The sequence below is a fragment of the Homo sapiens genome, chromosome 6, assembly GCF_000001405.40.
Source record: "Homo sapiens chromosome 6, GRCh38.p14 Primary Assembly".
Classification (NCBI taxonomy): domain Eukaryota; kingdom Metazoa; phylum Chordata; class Mammalia; order Primates; family Hominidae; genus Homo; species Homo sapiens.
Genome location: NC_000006.12, coordinates 163,278,550 through 163,304,796, shown reverse-complemented (window position 1 = coordinate 163,304,796; position 26,247 = coordinate 163,278,550). Strand labels below are relative to the sequence as shown.

General features: G+C 43.1%; 1 protein-coding gene across 4 annotated transcripts in view, besides 2 other annotated features; it reads right to left on the bottom strand.

Annotated features, from left to right (window-relative positions):
* The window catches only part of PACRG (parkin coregulated), a 588,369-nt gene that overhangs the window by 10,704 nt on the left and 551,418 nt on the right, over nt 1-26,247 (bottom strand). The gene's annotated exons all lie outside the window — the stretch shown is intronic.
* Nucleotides 12,912-13,417: an enhancer, noted in NCBI's record as "H3K27ac-H3K4me1 hESC enhancer chr6:163712412-163712917 (GRCh37/hg19 assembly coordinates)". NCBI's record gives its function as "activates a minimal SCP1, AML or CMV promoter by ChIP-STARR-seq in primed H9 embryonic stem cells {active_cell/tissue: H9 hESC(primed)}" and the evidence as "EXISTENCE:reporter gene assay evidence [ECO:0000049][PMID:30033119]".
* Nucleotides 13,418-13,924: an enhancer, noted in NCBI's record as "H3K27ac-H3K4me1 hESC enhancer chr6:163711905-163712411 (GRCh37/hg19 assembly coordinates)". NCBI's record gives its function as "activates a minimal SCP1, AML or CMV promoter by ChIP-STARR-seq in primed H9 embryonic stem cells {active_cell/tissue: H9 hESC(primed)}" and the evidence as "EXISTENCE:reporter gene assay evidence [ECO:0000049][PMID:30033119]".

Here is a 26,247-nt window from a genome sequence, read left to right as displayed (position 1 = left end):
CATTCTCCTCCACAGTGGGACCTCCTGCTTCACTCAGGCTGGATTTCCTACTGACCCCACTGCATGAAATTTTCATTCATGCCTAAATTCCCCATGGGAATATGCTCTCCTCTTCCTCCTGGTAAGTTCAAGCTTACTTTGGTTCAGGGCTAATGTTACTCCCTCTTTGATTTTGCATCCACATCATCTTTCTTTCTTTTGAATTCCTGGAGCACTAGGCCTGTAGTCCCCTCCCTGCTTATTTCCAGGTTACTCTAAAACCCTTAATAGATGTTTCCTGTTTACTTAGCCCTTTTGCATTCTACCACCTCGTGGGGGGAAAGGATCATGGTAATTATGTTATAAACCTCATCGTGGGCATCAAATTCAAATTGGGCACTTGTAAACTGAATGAATGAAAGTATAAGTAAATTGCTACCTTGTGGGTTTACTGGATCCAGATACTGATATAAGCAAACTCAGTTCTAAATAAAGTGTATGGTAGGTGTAGTGGCCACCATGTGCCTAATTCCAATTCTTTGTTTACTATTTACATATTTGTGAGTTGTTATCCATGGAAATAGCACTTACATGAATTTGGAAATGTTCGATCAAATGAGCTTCAATATGTGGAGGGTCTCTACAGCTAGGTAGCTTCATCTGGCTGCTTTTCAATCATGTACTCCTCAACTTAAAGTGGGGTTTACCTGGATCATCTTTAAATTTGAGAAGAAAAAAAACTTTTTGTTCATAGTGAAAAATGAGATTATCCCATTTACTTTTTTTTTTTTTTTTTTTTTTTGAAATGGAGTCTTGCTCTGTCACCCAGGCTGGAGTGTGATGGCTCAATCTCGGCTCGCTGCAACCTCCACCTTCCCTGTTCAAGTGATTCTCCTGCCTCAGCCTCCTGCGTAGCTGAGATTACAGGCGCCCGCCACCATGCCTGGCTAATTTTTGTATTTTTTTTCTTTAATAGAGATGGGGTTTCACCATGTTGGCCAGGCTGGTCTCCAATCCCTGACCTCAGGTGATCCCCCCGTCTCAGCCCCCCAAAGTGCTGGGATTACAGGCATGAGCCACTGCACCTGGTCCCATTTACTTTTTAGCAGCTTTTGCTCCAAGAAGAAGAACATATCGGATTTTTATAGTGCTTTCATTTAATATCTAAGTTTTGTTTTGTATGGTTTATTTCATAGCTACATGGTGATTTTCAACCAGCTCGCGAAACAGCAAAATAGATGATTTTGATTGGAAAAGAACTACTGATGGCTGCCCTCAGGAGTGATAAAACCTACTGGAAATAATTGTAACCACCTCTACACTGGTGGTGAAAACTTTTAAAAATGAGCCAGCCTGGCAGCTGCTATCAGACTTCTCCATTTCTAGGTAATGTTAATGATGCCAGATACAACCTGTTTTCAGCTCTGATTTTTTTTTCTGTGATTGAGGCACAAAAATAAAAATTCATCTCAGATGTCTTTTTTTCTTTTTTGTGAGACAGGGTCTCACGCTGTCACCCAGGCTAGAGTGCAGTGGCACGATCTCAGCTCACTGCAATCCCGGCATCCTGGGCTCCAACAATTCTCCTGCCTCAGCCTCCCGAGTAGCTGGGACCACGCACTACCACGCCTGGTTAATTTTTTTATCTTTGTAGAGATGGGGTTTTGCCATGTTGCCCAGGCTGATCTCGAACGTCTCGACTTAAGTCATCCACCCACCTCGGTCTCCCAAAGTGCTGGGATTACAGGCTTGGCCCCCTCACCCTGCTCATCTCAGATTTCTAATAAATGTTATCAGCAAACACATTAAACTATGGGGAAACGCATTTCTAAAATGATGAACTCAGAACTTAGAAGCCTTTGCATAGCCATCCCAGTGCTCACCATCATAACAAGATAAGGCTGAATCATTGTAGGTGACTGGGCTGCACAGCGGGGCACAGAGCTACAAAGTAAAAGATTCTCATGGCCTTGATGTACTGCTTGTTCTAGCAAGAAAAATAATTAAATGGATAAACTCACCAATCGTGCTTACGATGAAAAAACACGTTACACCATTTCTGTAGATTGGATGTTTCCCCGAATATTTGGGATATATCTTAGCTTGCCTAAAGTACCTACTCTTTGAAAATTCTAAAATGAATTAATGGATGCAAAATTTGAATAGATTTCCAAATCCTTAGCTGGATATTTTACAGAGTGGGAATATCTCATCAAATGAACTCAAGTAATGCAAACATAATACATTTAATGAACAAATCAAAGCAGTCTGCTGGCTGAACTCAGTTAGCTGCTCTGAAAGTGACGGAGTTAAATCCATCACGCCTTTTACAACTGTCTTAGTTAAAAATAACCTAGAAATATCTTTCCAAGCTCTGGCTATCAGCCTTTATCAGCTTCTACACTGGTGAGTTAAATGTGGCAAGAGACATCCACTTTGCCCCAAGTGTATTAATGCAGGACACAGTCTGAAAATGCTTGAGCTTGCCTGATATTTTTACAAATGTTTAAGGCTTTAAAGCCCAATCAAAGTTTTGGCCACATCTTACAAAAAAAAAAACAAAAAAAAACAAACAAAAAAAAGAGAGAGAGAGAGAACAGTATCTAAACTGTGGGGGGAAGTTTTGAATGTGGCCATTTAATTTGCCACAGCAGCAAAATTGGGTTTGCACAATAGACACTGAAGCTTGTTGGAAATGTTGATAGGTGAAATATGCTGACTTTTGATACTTTTGAATAAAGAATGTTTATTTGTCCGAGTTACATTTTTATCTCTTAAAATTCCTCAGTTTAGTGTACCCGATGGCTTTCCCCTGAATCAGGACATTAAGATTAGTCTGGACAAAGGCAGCTTGGAAATGAAACAACAGGACCCCTGAGGGGCGGAGGCGTGCTCTTGTTGAACACAAATGGCCATGCATCCCAGCTCCACTGAAACAGGGGAAATAATATCCATCTGTAAGGACAGGTTCCAGGACAAAAATAAGAGAATATGCATTATGTTTATATTAATTTAACGTGCTGTTGATAAATTTCGACAACTATTATTACTGCAGCTGCTATTTTGTCTATACTGTAGCTCCCAGATAAGAGTAGACTGGCCATCATTTAACTGTCCTCTGGGAGAGGACAGGAAGTATAGCCCCACAGAACGCCATGGAGTGTTTTTTGCTTTACTGTTTAATAAAATGAGTTTACTCTACAACCTCACAAAGGAGCAACACTTTTAAAGAGCAACTGCTTCATCCTCAGGCCATGAGGGACAGCAGGACATTGTTATCTGGACTCACCTTGAACTTGGAGCCCTCATCTTTGGGATGTCCCTTTATGAGTTTTTTTAGTCTAGACTGGTACCTTGCACCCTGCTTACATCTCTGATTAAGATACTTGGTCGTAGGACTTTATGAGCAAACAATTTATAGCTTAAGCTTACACTTAATCGTTCCGTTTTCCTTCAGATATAGTTCAATATGTTGGTGCTTAACTGAATGGGGAAAAGACTGGCTCTTCTTCTGCAAATGGCACCCAGACGTGGTCATCTGAAGGATGGTAGCTCTGTTTACTTCCTTTTTGTCTCCACAAGGTCCTGATTTTTCCAAATTTAGGAGCACAGCTCATGACTGGCCCATTCCCTAGACTGCTGGCTGACTGTGAGACATGCAGCCCTGATAAGCCAACAGGAAGCAGCGGATGTGGCCCTACTAAACTCACGGGAAGCAGCAGACGTGGCCCTACTAAACTCACGGGAAGCAGCGGACGTGGCCCTACTAAACTCACGGGCAGCAGCTGACGTGGCCCTACTAAACTCACGGGAAGCAGCGGACGTGGCCCTACTAAACTCACGGGAAGCAGCGGACGTGGCCCTACTAAACTCACGGGAAGCAGTGGATGTGGCCCTACTAAACTCATGGGAAGCAGTGGATGTGGCCCTGCTAAACTCATGGGAAGCAGTGGACGTGGCCCTACTAAACTCACGAGAGGAAGCAGTGGACGTGGCCCTACTAAACTCATGGGAGGAAGCAGATTTTATTTTCAAATGCACACCTGATACTTGTGCTTTAAGCCACAAAAAGGTCATTCTTTTGTAGTATCACTATGGGATTTAATATTTGCAAAATAATTTATATTCCGGTTTCCTGATTTTGTGTTTTGAGGCACTAAAGGCACTTAATACATGTGTTATAATTCCAATTTATGTCAGATAAGTAGCTGAATTGACAGAGAGACTATCTCCTTGCCCGTTGCTGGCCACGAGGAGACAGCCCGGTTAAGCAGGAGATAGTAAGAGGCATTGGCAGCATTCTGGCTCACATCTTTCCCTGCAGGAAGAGAGTGAGGGCGGAGGCTTCGAGGAGACTCCCTCCGCTTCTCTACTGAGGCGAAAATCCCCGCATCTACCGCCACCTTCTCTGCATAGATTGCTACGTTGGCCTCTGAGCCCAAAGAAACCCTCCGTCCTCTTCCAGACTCTTCAGCGCCATGGTCCTAGGCCCTTTGGGATGGGGTAGACATCAGAGCTCCTGCCCTGGACCAGGCTTCCAAATTCAACGTCATCTGCAGAGTAGACTGAGAGCGCCGAGTAAACTGAGGCAAATGCTCTGGTAAGCAGGCTCACTCACCAAGCTTCCACTAAGTCTGGCGCCTGCCATCTTAGGTCTGGACAATGTAAACCTCCAGAGGTTGATGGAGACCTGGGTAAAGGGCTCAACTGATTTTCTGGCTTCACCCCAGTGTTACCTCCCAGAGTTCTGTTGTCCTTCACCTGCCCAAGGCCTCCGGATAGGTCATTCCACTTAGTTCCAGCCTCTTGGAAATATCTGTACTGGGAGCTCTGTGCCCCCTACGTGCTTCTATCAGCAAGACCCTGGACTTAAAGACTTGCCATGTGATGGTGGGTCCTCAGTCTAGGCTATATATTTTTGTTTGTTTGTTTGTTTTTTGAGACGGAGTCTCCCTCTGTTGCCCAGGCTGGAGTGTAGTGGTGCCATCTCAGCTCACTGCAACCTCTGCCTCCCTGGTTCAAGCGATTCTCCTGGCTCAGCCTCCTGAGTAGCTGGGACTACAGGCACGCGCCCCCATGCCCAGCTAATTTTTGTATTTTTAGTAGAGACGGGGTTTCACTATGTTGGCCAGGCTAGTCTCGAACTCCTGACCTCAGGATCCACCCACCTCGGCTTCCCAAAGTGCTGGGATTACAGGCACGAGCACCGTGCCCGGCCTATGTTTAGTTTTTACAGACACCTTTGGCTCAAAGGAGCAGCTCCAGTGGTGGGAATTTGGGGAGTCAAGGTAGTCTGGCAGAGGAAGTGCTGAGGGACAGGCAACCTTCCTGGCCTCGAGGACGCCAACTCCGTCCTCCACTCTCCTCATCACAGGTAGGCTCTGGCTGCAGGGCAGGGCGGGCAGGTCAGGCTGATGGTTCCTGACACGTCTATGGGGCTTGGGTGGTGGGAAGGACCCCCAGAGCAACAGCTGGAGCATTCGCCTTGGTGAAATACAGCTCTCTTCATTTGGCCACATGGCCTGCCTGGTGCTTAGATCAGTGTCTGTTTGTAAACTGGCTTCCCAGTCGGAGGATAAAAGAACAAGGCAATAAATCCAAGGTGGGACTCAGGAACCAGCTTCTAATATGAACTCAGATGTCATCATCCAAATTCTGTGATTTCAAGAAGACCAGCTGTGTTCTAGAGCTTCAGCAGCTGAGGATAGATTATTGGACTAGAGTGGGAATGTAGACTAGGGGGCTCACATTCTGGCAGAGGAGTCCGGTAATATGCCAGGTAACCAACCATTAAATAAGAGTACTTCAGAGTGAGAAGTCCTGGCAAGGAACGGAAAGGTGATGTGGTAGAGATGGACTTGGGGGGCCACTACAGGCACGATGATCCAGAAGATCTCCCTGGGAAAATTAAATTTAAGCTGACATCTTAGTGTGGAGAAGTCGGCTTGGGAGAAAGAAATAAGCTTGAGAAGAACGTGCAGTGCAGAACAGCAAAGGCAAAGACCTTGAGGTTGGAATGCGTTGTTACCGGAGAGGATGATTTCACTGAGTTATGGCATCTGGGATTTTCAACATTGATATCTACTCTACCTAATTATCATTTGTCATGGCTGTTTAATAGCTATGGAGTGGAAGGAATACAAGTTACTCAGCTGTTCTTCTTTGGCTAGAGACATTAAGTCTACCTCCAGATTTGCACAATTTTTGTGAGTGATGCAATCAACATCTTTGTGCATAAAGTCTTTTTCCTTAGTTGTATTATTTCCTTGAAAGAATTCTCAAAAGTGAGGTTACTGCTTCAAAGAATATGAACATTTTGTGGTTACTGGTATAGGCTGCCACATTGATTGTTCAGAAAGGTTAGGCCAGTGTATGATGTTCCAGCAACACATACGGGTGCCTGCTTTATCACAGCATTGGGTGTTAGAAGTAAAATTGTGTTTGCCAATCCAGCGTCTATAAAATGCTACTCTAAGGTTGCTTTAGTTAGCATTTTTCTAATTACTAAGGAGGGTTAACCTTTTCCCATGTATTATTTTGCTGTGTGGGCTTTTTTTTTTTTCCTTTGTGAGAGTGATTTGTTCTTATCTTTGGCCTATTTGTCTACTGGGTAGAGGTTATAAAGAAAACAAAGTCTCATCTTATCACCCTGGGAAGCTAGGGAGTAGACCAGAAGATCTCAGAAGTTAGATTTTTTGGCATGCACAAGCCACTCCAGCATTCACTTCTTTTTGGTCGATGCAATAAGCACTATTTCAGAGAGCAGAGAGATGTGATGAAGAGTCACTATCACTTCTAAAGGTGCCCAGGTATCCCGGGCCACCACCTTGGGCACCGAAGAATTGGAGGGATTGTGTTAAGCAATGCAGAGGACACTGCACGGTCAGTCCATCATTGTGAGAAGCTGAATTGATGGTCATATACAGAAGGAGGGACATTTACAGTGAATTAGGTTTCTAAAAAGCTTGCTTTACATCCTTATGACTGCACACCCACCCACCCATCAGGTGGCTGTGAGGGGTCGCTAATCAGAGGCAAGAACTCACACTTCTGGGTGCAGCGCTCAGGTTTACAAAGTGTCTTAAGTTGGATTAAGTCTCAATGAGGCTACACATAAAGTCATTGTTATTTTGGTTTGTATGTGAAAAGTGTGAATTTGTTCAATGTAAACATTCATGATATATTGCAATTGATTTGAACTTGTGTTGGCATTTCTACATTTTTTAATGTATGGGGAGCCTCTAAAGATGAGAGTGGGCTGGGATGCTCTTGAGCTCTAGGAAGCCCAAGCTGAAGGCTGGGAAGGAGATAGATAAGAGATAGCTCACTAGGTCCTGGGAGATGAACTTGGAGGCAGATGAAGCTAAGGCAGAAGTATTTGTTCTTATTGAAGGTTAAAAGACCAGTAGCAGTGGAAACTGAAGTCTGCTATTTATCTTCAGGCTAGGGACAGTGCAGACAGCTGCAACACGAGCCTCCTTATAAAACCATGCCAGCAACCTGAACCGTGACCTCCACTGAAGAAGTATTTCAGTGGGTGTGCTGACATTCCCTTTAAGCACCAGTAAGCACCAGGGTGTCAATTTTGTTTTGAGGTCTGGTGATTTTGTTCACCCTCTTTAGTGAATAATAGGGAGACAAAGTCTTTACATAGTCTTATTTCAATTTAACTAAAGAAACAAAGCTTCGTCGCAGGAAGAAAGATATTACATTGAGAGCAGGTTTGAAAGTTAAAAACAAACATTACAAAAAGATTTGGAATTTCTGATAGGCAGTGAGCTATTGCAAAATCAGATCGACAATTGACAGCTATTCAAGTTAAGGTAAAATAATGGTTTGGATAGATAGTTCAGTACATGTGATCTTAAGTTCGAAATTATCTGGTATTTCTTTTACTTTTTTCATGTCCCTTTATGTAGTTATGGCCTGTTAGAAGAGATAACATTATAAATTAAGAAAAAGCAAGCTGTTTACAGAAATCAGTGTGGAGCATTTAAAGTGGTTTTTCTCATATCGAAAAGCTACTGGCAGGTCTAATTATTGCCCTGTCTGAAAGAGCAAAGTACATTAAAATGAGTGAAATAAATGGCTGGGCTGCACATATCTCTGCGTGCTACAGTCATTACTCGAGTAGTGTGTCTGTCAGGAAACCCTTTATGAATCCCATAAAGAACTACATCACTGGGCCCCCAAACATTCTCCATGTAAAAAGTCTGATGGTGGGCTGGGCGCAGTGGCTCACGCCTGTAATTCCACCAGCACTTTTGGAGGCCGAGGTGAGTGGATCACTCAGTCAGAAGTTCAAGACCAGCCTGGCCAAGATGGTGAAACCCCGTCTCTACTAAAAATACAAAAATTAGCCGGGCGTGGTGGCGGGTGCCTGTAATCCCAGCTACTCGGGAGGCTGAGGCAGAGAACTGCTTGAACTCGGGAGGTGGAGTTTGCAGTGAGCCGAGATTGTGCTACTGCACTCCAGCCTGGCCTGGGCGACAGGGCGAGATTCCGTCTCAAAAAAAAAATGCCTGAAGGTGAAGAAAATTACTCAAAATACTAAATTCCTTTAAGTCCTGTTATGATTGTTTCCTGCTTGAAGGAACACAATGGACTCCCTTTTTAATTAGTTCTACTATTCTACCCCAAAAACCTGACCACTATAAGATAGCAAATTAGAGCTTTTGGCAAGAAATAGACTTTGGGGGCCTATATTTCCTGAAGAATAAAGTAAAATGGGTTTCCACGAGTCTCCTAACACCCCCCAGGGGCTGCGGTATGAAGACAGCCTCCTGCTGCTCTGGGTTATAGAGCTTAGAACTGCGTGGGGTTTACTAAGGAAGCCCTTCTGATAGCAGAAGGCCAGGGCTACTCAGGGCCTCAGGGCATGGGACAAGGACCCTGAATTGGCCCTGTGGGAAGCAAGGTGTCAGGCATCAGGCTAGGAGTTTTATGTATGCTCCTTCATTTAATCCTTAATTCTATGAGGTTGGCCATGATGCTGAAGAAGATGGGAAAAACTCTCGAATATTCCTCCCAGGGATCTATGTTAGCGTGTGGCTGTGAAGGTTAAATAGGGTATATATGCAAAGCAGCTGCTATCTACTAGTAAGTCCTGCAGCAGAGTTTGCTGTAATTATAATCATTATTATAATAACAGTATCAGTGCTTCTTACATGATAGTTCTAACAATTAAATGAACTAATTTATAGACAGCACCTAGCCAAAAGCTTGACAATTATGGGGTGCTAAAAAATGTTACTTTCTTTCACTTCCGTAATAAGATCAATTCAAGGAGTTCATGGTGCATTCATTAATATTCCAAATCTACCCACTGTACGGATAAGCAAATTGTCAAAGTGGGATTTGATCTCAGGTCAACCTAAAGCTGAAGCCTCGGCTGTTTCCCTTACAGTCTGCTTCCTTGCTAAGGGCACTCAGTGTCGGTGTGGCCAAGCCAATTAACACAGAAATTCCTTATGGTCGCCCTTGTAATCACTTTAGGACAGGAGCTCCCCCTAATCTGTGGATTACTTGGTTTTAAATACTTTTTGGTCCGTGTCATTTTTTCTTTTGTATGCATTTACGTTTTTAAAAATAGGCACGTAGCCTAGAATAATTATAAAAGTGAATACTGCTTTATAATGAACCAGATAACGTTGCCAATATTCAACTATTTTTGGCTAAAAAATGTCAATTTCATGTGGTTTGACCTAAATTTTAATTCTTACTGTGTGTCAGGCACTATGCTAAGCATTTAAATACATTTAGCTTATTTAATTTGAATTCTCATTAATCCCCACAACAACCTTGGAAAGTTGATAATGTTACTGCTCACATTTTTACAGAGGAGGAGCCCATGGTACAGAAAGGTTAAGTTCAACCACCAAACATCAAAGGGAAACCACCATATGCAAAATAATGAAATGTCTTTATAGATGCTCTGGCTGAGAAATTCAGTTGTGATATATATGAAAACAAAGTGAAATAAAAAATACCACTTAAAACATTTCTTTATAATGGACATATTATTCAGATGAAAACTGTTTTCCTTCTAATCTTAAAATTCTCTATTATTATCTAGCTAATCTATCATCCATCTATAGCTTTCAAGTTATCTGTGAAATTAATTATTCATTAAGCAATTAACAATTATAATTACAAATTATAATTTTGAGTCACTGTGATTGGTAGAATTTAAATGCAAGGATATGGCTGTCAGAAAATTTACTATAAAAGAAAATAAAAAGTTGTTCCTAACTGATCCTTAAAAATATGTCTTTCCTTTCAAATTTTGTCCAACGGTTCTCTTTTCCTTGGGCTGCCATTTTACATTTGGGGAAAACTGAGACCAACATTGACCACCTGACCTTTATTGACTACATTTTAAATGTAAATTTTGTTTTTAGTAATTTTCCTTGCTTCTCCATGAAAATAATTTGTTTACAGGTAGCCTCCTCACTAAGTCTGTAATATGCTTTTTTAGTGGTTTTAGAAAAATATTTCTGTAGGGGATACAAAATAATATTATGATGACATAATTTGTTTTACTTCCCTGCAATTTCGTATAAACATACATAAAGCAATATTATAGCATATTAACTTTCTTATATGAGATTAAATTCTCATTAATATATTTTTAATGTTTTATGAAAAATATTTTAATACAAAGAAGTACAATTTCCTCATCTATTTTACCACAATTGCATTTTTTGTTTTAGATCATTTTCATTAAAATATCTTCTGTTTCCTAACCAAAAAAATGTTAATTTTTTTGGGGGGTAAAGAAATAATTGGGTCATATTCTGTAATTGCTATTGGAGCTATCAGGCTAGGTTGTATCTTGGCAAAAATAAAATCTAGGTCGGAACTAGAAAACTTTAAAGTGCTAGAAGTTATTGTTACTAGACTTTATGAGAATGTATCAAAATGTGGTTAGTATTGCCATTTTCTTTTCACAGTTTTTTTTTATATTTATGATGAGAAAAACATATGCTTTCTTCTGGATTTTTGTTTAGTTTCCAAAAATGATTAAAAATTCTACTTAAAAATCACAACACTGTAAACCTATATTCCCTGTATACCTTACTTTAATATTTCAGTATTTATGTTCACTTTCTCTAATGGTAACGTGGACCTTCATTATGTATGTTTATCTTGTTGTTATATGTCCTCTTAATTCCCCGATTCTTTATGTGGAAGTTACATATTTTAGTTACAAAACTTTTTCATCTCATGAACTATGGGTAGGTAGGTAATAAGTGAAATTTCTAAAAATCACATTCCCTTAGTTCATGATGTAACTGTCAGCTACACGGTCAGCAGTCGGCCTGGGACAGCTGCCTTGTGGTTATACAGCTGCTTTGATTACTTAGAAATAAGCACAGGAGGCTTCACTCCGTTGTATTGCTTTAACTGTTGCACTTTCTTACCCTTTTTACCTGCACGGAGCTAAGGGCTGGCTTTGGGCCTCTGGATGTTCCAAACCACAGAGGTAACTTTGGTGCCCACACACTGGCTTACTCTGGCACGTGCACATATACATGTGCATGCAATGCTGCCATCCCTGCCAGGAAGGATTTAAGGCACTGCTATTCGATCATTACAGCTGAAATCAATAGTTCATTGTTGATTGTTGTTGATGACCTAGGTGTCGTTAAGCTCTCCAAAGAACAAGATGGTTCATAGGATTTTCCAGAAACTTGACTTGCTGCTAAACTTTTCATGTTAAGAATAAAGAAAAGTCACGAAAAATCTTTTCTGGTGACTCAAATAATCCCTGGATACACTGGGAAAATGTCTAAATATTAGCACTATGCTTGATTTTTACATTCGGGATCAATCTGTATCTATTTCTATCTTTGAAAAAAATCCTTGCAAGTTTGTGAGATCGCCTGCTCATTGATCAGAAGGTAACAATCGTCTTCTGTAATAGCAACGCACAAGGAATGGAGGAAAATCTTTTTAAAGAAATCGAAAGAAACAGAACTTTGAACTAATCTGGTTTAGATTACTTAATATTATTAAAGAGTATTAAGGTTAGCCAAATGGTCAGGAAATTTAGATGTTTTCAAATTGTGTGCCATTTAAAACAACCATTGGGGACTGGGCATGGTGGCTCACACCTGTAATCCCAGCACTCTGGGAGGCCAAGGAGGGTGGATCACCTGAGGTCAGGAGTTTGAGACCAGCCTGTTAACATGGTGAAACCCTATCTCTACTAATAAATAAATAAATAAATAAATAAATAATACATAAATTAGCTGGGCGTGGTGGCAGATGCCTGTAATCCCAGCTACTCAGGAGGCCGAGGCAGGAGAATTGCTTGAACCCAGAGGTGGAGGTTGCAGTGAGCCGAGATCGTGCCATTGCACTCCAGCCTGGGTGACAGAGCAAGACTCCATCTCAAAAATACAAAACAAAAAGCCATGGGCCCAGTGATAGTTTCCCATAACAATTCCTCCTCCATTCTGAATTTCTTATGCTTCATTTTAGTGCAAATGTGGTTCCATGAAAAATGGTAAGACACTGGATTACGCTACCAAAAGAGTTGGGTCTTGCCACTTGTGAAAGTGCAGGAGGAGCTGGCTTAAGCCCATCCTATCCCCCAGCCCCTCGACTGTCGAGGTCGGTCTTCCTTTCTGTTTCTGTTGCCACCACCGCACGTTGTCCCTTATGGTCTGTCTCCAAATTTACCTTCCTGTTGGAATAACCTCCCCACCGCCCTCTCCTGCCTTCTCTCTATCCCTTTAAATTCACCCTTTTCCACTGCCTACTTAAACCTTCGTTAGCTCAGCTCGTGTTGCATTTCTCCACTGGGGAAAACCTTCAGAAATGTACCATTATCTGTTGAATAAATTTCAGCTCCCCTGGCCTGGCATTAAGCCCTACGTGATGGGCTTCAGGCCAATTGTCTTCTAATCCTCCCTCACAGCAACATCAGGATCCAGTTAAACCACGATTGTTACCCCCAGACAAGAGTCAGGGCCTCCCCACCTCCTCATCTGGCCTTGAGTCATTTCTTCCTGCTGGAGTTCCTTCCCCAGCTCTGCTTATGAAAATCTGTGAAGGTGCCTTGATCTCTGAATCACCAGAGTCGGAAGACATTTGTCTTTCTTTTAAGCGCTAGCAATGTTGGTGCTTCTCTAGAGGCCCTTGACAAATACCACGTTCTGAAGTTACTGTGAAAATATCTCATTTACAAGAATTAGGCTCCGTGGTGTCTATCAACTCAGTCGATGTTCAAGAGACGTTTGTTGGAAAAGGAATATGAAGAGAAATCTAGCTGCCTGAGGAAACGGGGCGGGCCCATAGTTGCATCCGGGTCTCTGGCCCCGTGGGCTGCAGATGCCCCGCAGGCCAGCTCGGGCGGGCAGAGGGGTCATCTTGCAGGGTGACCCGCAGGCCAGCTCGGGCAGGCAGAGGGTCATCTTGCAGGGTGACCCGCAGGCCAGCTCTGGCGGGCAGAGGGGTCATCTTGCAGGGTGACCCGCAGGCCAGCTCTGGCGGGCAGAGGGTCATCTTGCAGGGTGACCCGCAGGCCAGCTCTGGCGGGCAGAGGGGTCATCTTGCAGGGTGACCCGCAGGCCAGCTCTGGCGGGCAGAGGGGACATCTTGCAGGGTGACCCGCAGGCCAGCTCGGGCAGGCAGAGGGTCATCTTGCAGGGTGACCCGCAGGCCAGCTCTGGCGGGCAGAGGGGTCATCTAGAGGCGGAGCAGAAACCTGAGAACCCAGACTCAGGGAGAGGCCGCTGGGCAGCCGGGCACTGAAGCCAGGAACACCGGCATTTGAGGTAAATGGCCAGGCCAGTGCCTTCCAGAAAGGAAGTCCATGTTCCGAGGAGTGGGAGAAACCGTTTGCTTACGAACCTTTGACCAGGAAAGCAGAGGGGCAAAGAGGCCAGTCAGAGGCAGAGAGGAGGCCCCACCGACGCAACCCTACCCGCCAATGCCCCTTCCTCTCCCTGACCCGGACCTCACGCTGAACTCATGCGCATCCGATTTCATTTAACTAAGGACATTTTTAAGTGACCATTGTGTGGAAGGCACTAGCTTAAGTGCTCTCCCATTGAGTCATGACACAGTAATAGCGACAGTGCTAACACCGTTGAATATTTTCTAGTGCCAGGAGCTGAACTGTGCCTAAATGCATTATTTCATCTAATCTTAGTAACTCAACTGTGAGGCAGGTGCTATGATTAGCATCCTTACTGAAAGTTGAGGCAATGGAGGCTTGGAGAAGTGAAGTGGTTTGCCCAGGTTCCCAGGAGTAAGTGGAGGCAGCCGCAGGTCCAGGGGTGGGGGCAGGCTGCGGGGCGCTCAGCCCCTTCTCCCCACCTTCTTCCCATTGGCTCAGTCCCTTGCATTTTCACAGGCGCAGGGGCAGCAATACTTTTTAGATTTGGGTCTGGTCAACGTTTTTGGTCCCTTGGAAAATTCTCTCCTACAAAATAGGTTATGAATGTAACCCAATCCCCATTAAGATGGTCACTCAGTGATTGCTGTGTGTGTGTGTGTGTGTGTGTGTGTGTGTGTGTGTGTGTGTGTGCGCGCGCGCGCGTGCATGCGCACATGTGCGTATGATAATTAAGTGAATTTGGAGTTGGCACAGGGTGGGGATTGGCCGTGACTTCTGGGTAGGGTAGTGGGTAACTGGAAGAGGACTGAGGCCGGGCGTGGTGGCTCATGCCTGTAATCCCAGCACTCTGGGAGGCCGAAGTGGGCAGATCATCTGAGGTCAGGAGTTCGAGACCAGACTGACTAACGTGGTCATTATAAACTGACCAACCCAGTCTCTACTAAAAATACAAAATTAGCCAAGTGTGGTGGTGCATGCCTGTAATCCCAGCTACTCGGGAGGCTGAGGCAGGAGAATCACTTGAACCTGGGAGGCGGAGGTTGCGGTGAGCCGAGATGGCACCACTGCACTCCAGCCTGGGCAACAAGAGTGAAACTCCACCTCAAAATAAAATAAAATAAAAAAGAAAAAGAAAAAAAAAACAGAAGAGGACTGAGTGGTGCTGTGGTCAAGGTGGGGGGCACAAGCTCTGTCCCTGCCCTGGCACCAGCTCCCCCTGTCCCCACTCCCGGTCTTCATTTCCTCATAGGTAAAGCAGGGAGCAGAATAACTCCCTCCTGGACTAGTACAGGGCTGGGGAGGACAACATGCGCCACACGTAGTGAGGATTTACCCGATGGACATGCTGTGATGGCTGGGACTGGTATTTAGACTGCAGCTATTAATAGAATGACATTGCAGAACTGGATTCATGATAAGGCTTCCTTAACTTTCATTTAATTCTATTTCAAATGAAATCTTAAGTATTTTAAAAAATTAAAAATATTTAGAAATAAATATTGAGGAGGTCAATGAAAAAGAATGAAGTTATTTACAAAAGAAAAACTGACTCAAGATTCATATGAGAACAACAACTACTCTTAACCTATAATGTCCCTAAGTGAATTGATTTGGAAATAGTTAGGAAAAGGAACCGCATCGTGAAAGCCATCTTGGAACTGATTAGGTTCTAACGCATTTAATGCCAAATCAGGAGAGCCAGTAAACTAAAACAATGAGATCAAAGCCGCAGCAAATACTCTGCACACCAGCGAGTCCTGACACATGGGAACTGGCGCAGGGTTCAGTCGGTCCACGGCCAAACTCAGTTTCTGCTCATGTGGGGTAGATATCAGTGCACGGAATTCCAAATTTGTTGGTGTGGTTTCCAGCGACCAGTTCCAGGCTCCCATCTGCATGCCACAGTCTAGCATCTCAATGGCAACTGGCTGACCTTGAGCCTGTCCTCGCTGATGGAGGGACTGCTTTTATCACTGTGTTTCACCTTTGCTGGGCACGACCTTCTGATCTCACTGTGGCAGTTCACAGTTAATTGCACTAAGGAAGGGCCGCATCTGAATAAGTCCCTCCTGAAGAACATGCAATCTGAATTCACATGTATTTCTCTTTAGAGTGCATTCCATGATGTTTTGCTACACACATACCCCCTAAATTGTAGTTATTTTAGATATTCTGTAGAACTAATTTATGGTCCCTGTATATTCCGGGAAGGTAATTGGGAAAGCCATTCAAAAGTGTTGAGTGGTATAGACGAGTATTTGGTCATAAAAAGTTCTCTATGCATTATTTTTCTTAGATAATCGAGAGCACATTTTATGCTGAAACTTCAGGCAAAGTGATGCATAAAATGAATCAGCATTATAAACTTGGCAACATGGGATTTTTAGTTTTATTAGTTCCCATTCAAAGGTATGACAGTCGCGAAACTCTTTTGTGCTCATTTAGAATTTCAAATGTAGGAGAATGTTAATAAGTGAATCTAATCCTTGTACTGATCCTGCTTAACAGAGCTTATTCTCCTGTTTTTCAGATGAGGAAATCAAGGCCAAGAAACTGTAACAGGTAAGTCCCAAAGTATGGAGGTGGCACACCAGGAGACAGGCCTGTCGGGCTCTTGCCACTGTGACGTCTACCTTTAATGACCTCGGTTACAGAATACCACGCACACGGAGCAATCAGGAAAGAAGGGCATTTCTTTACCACTGTCAGGTTTAAAATTCTTGTGGCTGAAAGCTCAAGATAACTCTGAAGGTGAATCAGACGCCAGCCCCACTTCAAACACCATTAGTGCTTGGCATTTCAAGCGCATGAGACGAAATTGCAATTAAGAAAACCTGAGAATCTCACTGAGCTTCTGCAACTAGCCATTATCACAAGATAAATGTCTTTTTTGAAAAACAAACTAAAAAGATGATACAGAATAAATGTTTGAATAATGTCTAAATTCTGTGGGGAAAAGAAAAGCAAGAACCCGGAGGCCTAGTCTCTCCAAATCATTTCCTTAATTTTTAAGAAAACAACAAAGCCAAATAAATAGCTTCTTCTGTGGTGTTTCTGAAAATGTGGGATTCTGAATGTGAGATCCTGAAAATCTCCAGGAACCTCCAGACCACAAAACCCTCAGCATGGCCACGGTCGGGCCACACCGTTCTGAGGTTTCCCAACTGCGCACGCCACACTCAGAGCAACACATGTACCCCGGTTCCTCGTTCAATTATTTTTCTCTGTTAAATGAGTGGAAAATAATGTCATCCATCTGGCAGGAGACTGGCTGGTGTTCTGTTTCTGGTGTTCTTTGCTCAAATGCTTCCATTCCAAGTGTTAAAAGACTATCTGTGTAAATGGTCAGGGCTCGGGGTGTCCCTTTGGGGTGATCTAAGAGAAGGTCAGGATTGAAAAGAAACATGTAAGAAATGCAGAGCCTCGAAGTGTCCCCAGAGCTGGCTCAGGTGTGACCCAGATCCTGCGGGCTGTGAGGGGCCTGGGCAGCCTCCGCAGGAGGAGGTGAGCATGGCCGTGTGTGCGGCCTGTGGGGACAAACGTGGCGGCGAAGGCTGCTGGGAGGGCTGAGGGTCCCCGGCTTCTGGGGTTGGGAAACTGGCTCTTCCTGGTGAGGGGTCCCTTTCCCTTCTGTAAGAGCAGTGGGGACCAGGTTTCCAAAACGTTGTTCAGATTTTGCAAAGTGAAAGGCAAGAGCTTGCTGTCTTTTTGACCTGCAAGGAACACCAAAGCAAATGCGACCCCAGCATTTGCCTGCCATTTCTCTCCTCAGGGCCCTTGATTCTGCAGCCTGACATTGTCCTGAAAAATCACTTTCGTTCCGACAGCCACCAACCATACGCATAAGACTTTTAAAAGTTAGGTGCAAACTACTCATGTACTATCTGCTGCATGGGAAAAATAATCAGATGGTCTTTGAGGGAAGACACACACACACACACGCACATACACACATTCACATATGTACATATACATATATACAGATACACAAACACATATACACATATCTACACATATGCAAGCACACATCCACAGTCACATACATATCCATATACAAATACACACCTACATATATGCACATACATCTACACGTGTACACATAAACACACACATAAATACACATATGCATATACATACACACATGTACATAAACATCCATACACTTACATACCACATATACATATTTATGTAGTTTTAAAGTGACCTGTTGCGGAAAGTTTTCCCTCAAAAAAGCCTTTTGGGGAGCAGGAAGGGACGATATGGAACTCAGTAAGGAGCCTGTTTCTTTCCAGATGACCAAGGCTCACATTAGGAGGTAAGAACTGTTGAATTCAGCATGGATATACTGCCTGTTCTCAAGATGGTCTTTGACAGCAAAGCCATTTTCTATGGCAGAAATTATGATCATATTATTGATTCTGAAAATTAGTTGCCAATTCTTGACTGACTTAAAGTTTTTTAACACTTTGAAAGGGATTGAGAATAGTAGTATGGTCTTTAAATAATGTTTTTGTAAAACTTGCTTTAGAAACCAAAATTTCATCTTTGTTTCTGCCTCTCTGATACTCTTTACAGAATATTGTTTTATTACTACCTGTGTTATTATGGGTAGTAAACATAAATGTCCCACTTTATGTATCAATAATAAAATAGGCATTATTTTCCTAAAAACAGCTGTACATACTGATATTTCCTGACAATAAATATTTATGGACAACTCACGCCAGTTTTACTTTCCATACCAATTGTAACAGATGTGAGCTCATCATTCAGTCTGGAAGATTTTATAAACCACTGAATAACAAACTCCCATCCATTCCAAAAGACATGGACTATAAAATAGCATGAATTGTCAGTAAATGGTTATCCTGATGAAATATTCCGTTCACCCCTCCACTTGCATAAAGATAGATCATGCTCCAAAATATGCATACTTTTATAGAGGGAAGAATAATTTTTAAAAGTGATTTACACGACAGAACCATGCAATAGAGCATTTTCCTCCAAGTTCAAGACAAGGAGCCTCTGTCATGAAGGGATGGAGTCATTCAGTCCCTTCCAGCAGCCTAGCTGAACAGTGAGGCTCCTTTCAGAGTCTACAGTCAAATCAAACCGGTCGAGGCGGATGGTGCACCTACTGTGGGCAATGTTCTTTGCTAGATGCTGTCATCTACCTGAGAGGAATTTATACAGAGCCGCACATAGTATATGCATCCATGACAGCTCTGCTCCTTATGACACAGGCATCCGAGCTGCTCTGCCTGTGCAGGAGCTGTGGTTATTATTCCTTCCCCATCACGGACGGTGCATTCTTTTCCTTGGACTTCATTTCTGCTCCAGCTCTCTGGGCTGGGCCATTTTCCTAATTGCTTCTCTGGCAAATATCTCCGGGGCCCTTTGGCTTCTCCCGCCATGATGTGAAGCAGAGATTAAAGATGTCAGGATTGTGCTAGGAACTGAGGATACAGTGGTTGACAGAAAAGATCCGGTCTTTGACCTCATGGGGATTCACTCTAGCAGGGAAGAGGAGCTTTAAATAAATCATCACTGCTACTGTGCTGTGGGAGCTTAGACGGGAGATCTAGCCTGGACTGGGGCTGGCGGGGTGGGGGTGCTGCCCGAGTGGGGATGTGTCAGGGGAAGCGGGAGGGACGAACAAGGAAGGAGACAGGGGCGTAAAGGATCACAGGCAAAGAGAAGGGTTTGCGCAAAGGCCCTGCGGTAGGGGAGAGTTGGATCTGTTCAGAAGCAGAGATGAGTCCGGTGGAGTTGCAGGTGGGGTGGGGAGAGGGGTGTCTGGGGGAGGCTGGACAAGCAGGCAGGAGTCAGGTGATGCTGGCCCTGAGGTCCCTGGGATGGGTGGTCACCTTATTCTAAGGGCCAAAAGGAGGCCAAGGAAGGCTCAAGTGGACCAGTGCATGACTGATTTTGAGTCGAGGCTGCTGTTTGGACAATATTTGATGGGTGTGAAGGTCAATGGCTACTGCACTGCCCCAGGCAATGTGATGATAGTGGCTTGGTTTAGGGTGGTAGAGAAATGAAGACCTATTTTGGAAAATTAAAAAACAGCTAGAACATGGTGTTGAATTTGATAAAGTGAGAGAGAGGGATACCTGTATTTCTCTTGTGCAAAGGGATAGATGGCAACAGCTTTAGCAGGGGCAACAGGGGAGGACAAAGGCTTGAGGAGATAGAAGGGCAGGAATTTGCCTTTGGACACATGAAGGCCGAGTCCCTGAGAGGCATCAGAAGGGAGGCGGGGAGCGGGGGTTGGGGGCGGCTCTGGACATCCAGAACTCAAATACCATCAAGATGCTGGAAGAGCACTTATGTGATGTCATGTGTTTCAATACCGGTTTTATTTCTTGCTTTAAAACATCTAGAATAAGATGGTTTTAAAAATCTAAAATAAAAATATCTAAAATAAAATAACATTAATCTGTTAAACACACTATGAGCTTTAATGAGCAATTTTCTAATAATCACTCACATCTCCCAGTTCCTAGTTCAAGGCTCTCTGCCAGACCACTGTTCTTCAGCATGTGCATGGAAGAAATTCATGCCCGTGAACTCTGTGGGGCCAGAGGGCAGTGATACCGGCTGGAACGGAAGATGACTCCCCTCTAAAGGAGCTGACAGTCTGGGACTGAGGTCAGAACGTCCAGCAGCTGCTGGCCTGGCCCCGGGCTGGCAGCAAACTCTCTGAACCTTGGCTTGTTTTTATGCAGGATGGCAAGAGGGACAAGATAATCTTCCAGAAAACCTACAGTTTTATAATTGTATAATTCTTTGGATTGCAATAATTAAAAATTCAAAATAAATCTGTTTATTAAACCCTATTTAATTTTTTTTTTTGAGACAGAGTTTTGCTCTTGTTGCCCAGGCTGGAGTGCAATGGTTTGATCTTGGCTCACTGCAACCTCTGCCTCTTGGGTTTGAGCGATTCTCCTGCCTCAGTCTCCCAAGTAGCTGGGATTACAGGCATGCACCGCCATGCCCAGCTAAGTTTGTATTTTTAGTAGAGATGGGGTTTCACCACATTGGTCAAGCTGGCCTCAAATTCCTGACCTCAAGTGATCTACCGGCCTTGGCCTCCCAAAGTGCTGGGATCACAGGTGTGAGCCACCGCATCTGGCCTAAATTTTTTTTTTTTTTTTTTTTGAGACGGAGTCTCGCTCTGTCGCCCAGGCCGGACTGCGGACTGCAGTGGCACAATCTCGGCTCACTGCAAGCTCCGCTTCCCGGGTTCACGCCATTCTCCTGCCTCAGCCTCCCGAGTAGCTGGGACTACAGGCGCCCGCCACCGCGCCCGGCTAATTTTTTTGTATTTTTAGTAGAGACGGGGTTTCACCTTGTTAGCCAGGATGGTCTCGATCTCCTGACCTCATGATCCACCCGCCTCGGCCTCCCAAAGTGCTGGGATTACAGGCGTGAGCCACCGCGCCCGGCCCTAAATTTGTTTTTATTGGAAAAACCTAACACATTGATTTATCCATAACATTGTGTTTATGGCATCCTAATCTGAAAAACATAATCTTAATCAAATTGCATATCTATTTCTTTGTTCAGGTTTGATCCCTAGTTCCAATCTTTTTGGATATATAATTGCTGGCTACAAGTTAGAAGGACTGATTCCTTCATTGCAATTTCCACATCTTCGAGTTAAGCGCTTTTTGGAAATCATCAGGAATGTTGTGTTCATGGCTGGAAAGCTCAGACACTAAAATACACATCTGCCACCAACCAGAGTCAGGAAAGGTCATGTCTGTCTCTTTACATTCACATCACCCACATTTATAAACTGAGTGTATATTACAGATACCCTTTAAATTAATCTAAAACTTGATTTTGATTTTTTGCATGAAAATTATCATGTCATATAGTAATGTGCATAAATGCTCAAAGTGATTTTTAAATTATACATACACAAAAGACACAGAATGCCAAGAATCAGTAGTAAAAAACATTCAAGAGCTTCTTTTTTTAATAAAATGATAACCACTAAAATTTACATGTTTACACAAAATTTGCCCCAGTGGCAGGTCATTGTAGCAATGGGTGCAAAGGCTTTCCTTGTAGAAGGGCTTGATGATTGAGCAATTTGGGGCCATGTGTTTGCAGAAAGAAATTGTTGTTTCCCATTGTTTTTTATGTCTAAAAGAAAGTGAAGAAAAGTACACACTGGATGGTGTAAGCCTTGTCATGGCTAAATCCAAAACCTTTAAGATGAATTTCTTTTCTTTTTTTTTTTTTTTTGAGATGGAGTTTCACTCTTGTTGCCCATGCTGGAGTGCAGTGGTGTGATCTCAGCTCATTTCAACCTCCACCTCCCAGTTTCAAGTGATTCTCCTGCCTCAGCTTCCCAAGTAGGTGGGATTACAGGCGCACACCACCATGCCCAGCTAATTTTTTGTATTTTTAGTAGAGATGGGGTTTCACCATGTTGGTCAGGCTGGTCTCGAACTCCTGACCTCAGGTGATCCACCTGCCTCGTCCTCCCAAAGTACTGGGATTACAGGCCTAAGCCACTGCACCTGGCCCAGATGAATTTCTTTTGATAAAGAGATAAGAGAAATAAATATTTTTGTAGGGGGTAAATTGGAGACACAGGAGGTAGCTTTTCAGTCAAGACTTCTTGACCAAGGACTTCATTTAGATTTTCACTTTTTGGCTCTAAGAGGACAGATTTGACCTGCTAATTACTTGGTGGGGTGGGAAAATTTCTTTTTCTTAAGTCTGTGTGTATATTAACATCAGCATAATTTGTATATCACCTCAAAGTCTTTGACTTACAATGAGCGTAACTATGGTGAAATTTTTCTTCTCTGGTGGCTTACTTTAAATGTCTTAATATTATCCAAATGCTTTATTCAATAAGGAAAAGAAAATTGCCCTTTTTTTCAAGTGACCCAAACAATAATTTTAAAAAAGTTCTGAATATTCAAATTAATGCTTCTATTTCTATTGATTTAATCTACATTATTTTTAAAGATTCTTGAAAAACTTGATCTGCTTCTTGTGCACATGATACTCATCTGATTTTATCTTGAACATTTAAGAGATTTTGTTTTAATAAGAAAGGAAAGAATGCTGTCAAGATATCGGTTAAAGTTAATTGAATTTGGAATGCATGCCAAAATTGGGTGGGCCTCATTCCTTTTCCTATGCTGTTGAATTACTAGATCAAAAGATTAGCTCAATGTAGCCTGACTCATATACACTGTATTTCAATTATATATTATTACTCTATGGATTCTGAATTTTGCTTAGAATTGGTAATTATTGAATATAAGATGTTTAAATTTTGTCTTCATAATGATAAATTTGAAGGTTCATTTACTAGAGATCTTGCTATAGATTTCTACTTCTGAAATTAAATGAAATTAAATGTACACTATCTAGATTTCATATAGCAAAAAAAAAAATTCATCTTGATTTTTGGCTATTGTTATTTTTTAGCAGTTGTACGCCAATGTTTTGATCTGGCCTTACTGTCCAATGTATTTTACATTGTGTTGCAAGCTTACCCTTTCTAAGGTACAGCTCCAGCCATGCCAGCTGCTGCCACCCCACTTCCATCCCATGCAGATACCTTTGAGGACTGTGCTGAGGCAAAGTCTCAGATCTCTCCACAGGAGCCAAGGGCTTCTTCAATGGCAATGATCTGCTCTTCCTCACTCCTGAGGGTGTTTTTCCCAGTAGCCTTGCTGCCGTTTCTTGAGCCCTGCCTCCTCTGAACGTCCTGCTCTGCACCCCCAAGCTCGCACCACCACAGGTCCCCAGTTGTGGCTCTTGAGCTGGCCCCACCTCTCCACCGCTCCAGCCCAGAGTCTAGTGCCTTATGTTTGCCCACTTGTGCTTGCACTGGCTTCTGCACCTGGAGCATCCCCCCATCTCCGGATGCACAAAGCCTACCCATCTTGCTCATCTCAGTTCAAATGATACCCTTTTCATAATCTGACGGGAAGGAGCATCTTCTCTTCCATTCCCTCCTTGGTGATTTTAATTCTACTTCTCATGACATCATTTCCTGCCATAAGTTGTGGTTTACATGTGTTATAAACCAATGTTTGTGTTCCCCAAATTCATATGTTGAAGTCCTAACCCCCAGTGTGGCTGTATCTGGAGATGGGACCTCTAAGGAAGAAATTAAGTCCAAACGAGGTCAGATGATCTAATAGGATTCATGTTCTTATAAGGAGGTGCCAGAAAGCTTGCTCCCGCTCTCTCCCTGTGCACATGCATCCAGGAAAGGCCATGTGAGTGCACAGTGAGAAGGTGGTCACCTGCAAGCCAGGAAAAGAGCCCTCCCCAGATACTAAATTGGCCGAACCTTGATCTTGGACTTCCTGTCTCCACAAATGTGAGATTATACATTTTTGTGGTTCCAGCCGCTCAGTCTCTGGTGTTTGGCTATGGCAGCCTGAGCAGACTAAGACAACATGGGATAGATGGGATCTTCTCATTTAGAGTGAAGACCTTGAAATGAGTGTTCATTGAACATTTGCCTTTGTTCACCACACTGCCTGGCTCTGTGTGTGCCTATGGGGTGGTGCACAGTATAACCCCTACCAGCTCAAGATGCAGTGAAATCCAGGCAAACCCAAAACTGTTGAGACAGCCCAGACAGGTGGGGCCAGCTCAAGAGCCACAACTGGGGAACTGTGGTGGTGCTAGCATGGGGGTGCAGAGCAGGACGTTCAGAGGAGGCAGGGCTCAGGACACGGCAGCAACAACACAGCTTCTAGAGGTGGCAGACTCACTCCCTAAAGTGATAACTCCACATCCCATGCACACAGCATGAGCTGCTAGATCTGGGAGGATGGAAAGGAGACTGAGCAGAGGCCATGCAGAGTGGAAGTGGAGCAGAGACGCTTGGTGAAGGAAGGGCCAGCTGGCCAGGTGGCAGCAGACCCGAGCGAAAACAATCTCTGCCTCTGGAGGGAGGGCTCACTCAGAAGCTTCCAGTGCAAAGGATGAACCTCAGGACAGACCAACAGATCCCAAAACAAGGATGCGCAGTGCAGGCTGAGGGTGGATGCCCTGCTAGGTTGATTTGGGAAGATAATTCTTCCCAGGTAATTCAATAACATAGGAATAATCTATCTTCATGGAGTTGACTCTCCTTCTCTCAAGCAAGCTCTTTCAATTAGCTGGAAAATATGACTTATGTGATAGTGAATAATTTGAAACAAAAGCCAGCATAGCATTGATATAATAAGAAAAAAATACAGGAAAGAGTAGTGAAAATTATTAGAGGAAGGATATTCACACATACTCACAGACACAACTGCCAAGAAATCTCTTATTGAATATTAAACCTCTGATTGAATTCAATATTAAGAGCCCTTAAAGCAAAAACACAAGATCTCAGGGCACAGACAGCAAGACTACTGGAGAAAATGAAAAGCAAGTTGACAGCACTCAGGAAAGAGCTAAAAGAATAATAAATCATAGAAATGGAAATCAAAATGACAGGAGCAAAGGAAGAATTGCACTAGGGAAAACTTGGTAAACAGATAGATACTAGAAATTAGAAAAATTAAGCAAAGTCAAATTGCAATAGGGAATGTAAAATGATTGAAGATCTATTCAACACAGTACTGGAAGTCCTAGCCAGAGCAATCAGACAAGAGAAAGAAATAAAGGGCATCCAAATTGGTGAAGAGGAAATCAAACTGTTGCTGTTTGCTGCTGATAATGATGGTATACCTCGAAAACCCAAGACTCATCCAAAAAGCTTCTAGAACTTGTAAAGGAATTCAGCCAAGTTTCAAGATACAAAATTAATGTACACAAATCAGTAGCTCTGCTATACACCAACAGCGACCAAGCTGAGAATCAAATCGGGAACTCAACCCCTTTCACAAGAGGTGCAAAAAGAAAAAACTAAATACTTAGGAATACACCTAACCAAGGACATGAAAGACCTCTACAAGGAAAACTACAAAACACTGCTGAAAGAAATCATAGATGACAAAAACAAATGGAAATACATCCCATGCTCATGGGTGGGTAGAATCAATATTGTGAAAATGATCATACTGCCAAAAGCAATCTAGAAACAAAGAAATTCCAATCAAAATACCACCATCATTCTTCAAAGAAGTAGAAAAAACAATACTAAAATTCATATGGAACTAAAAAGGAGCCCACATAAGCAAAGCAAGAATAAGGAAAAAGAATAAATCTGGAGGCATCACATTACCTGACTTCAAACTGTAATGTAAGGCCATAGTTACCAAAACAGCATGGTACTGGTATAAAAATAGGCACATAGACCAATGGAACAGAATAGAGAACCCAGAAATAAAGCCAAATACTTACAGCATACTGATCTTTGACAAAGCAAACAAAAACTTAAAGTGGGGAAAGGATACCCTATTCAACAAATGGTGCTGAGATAATTGGCAAGCCAC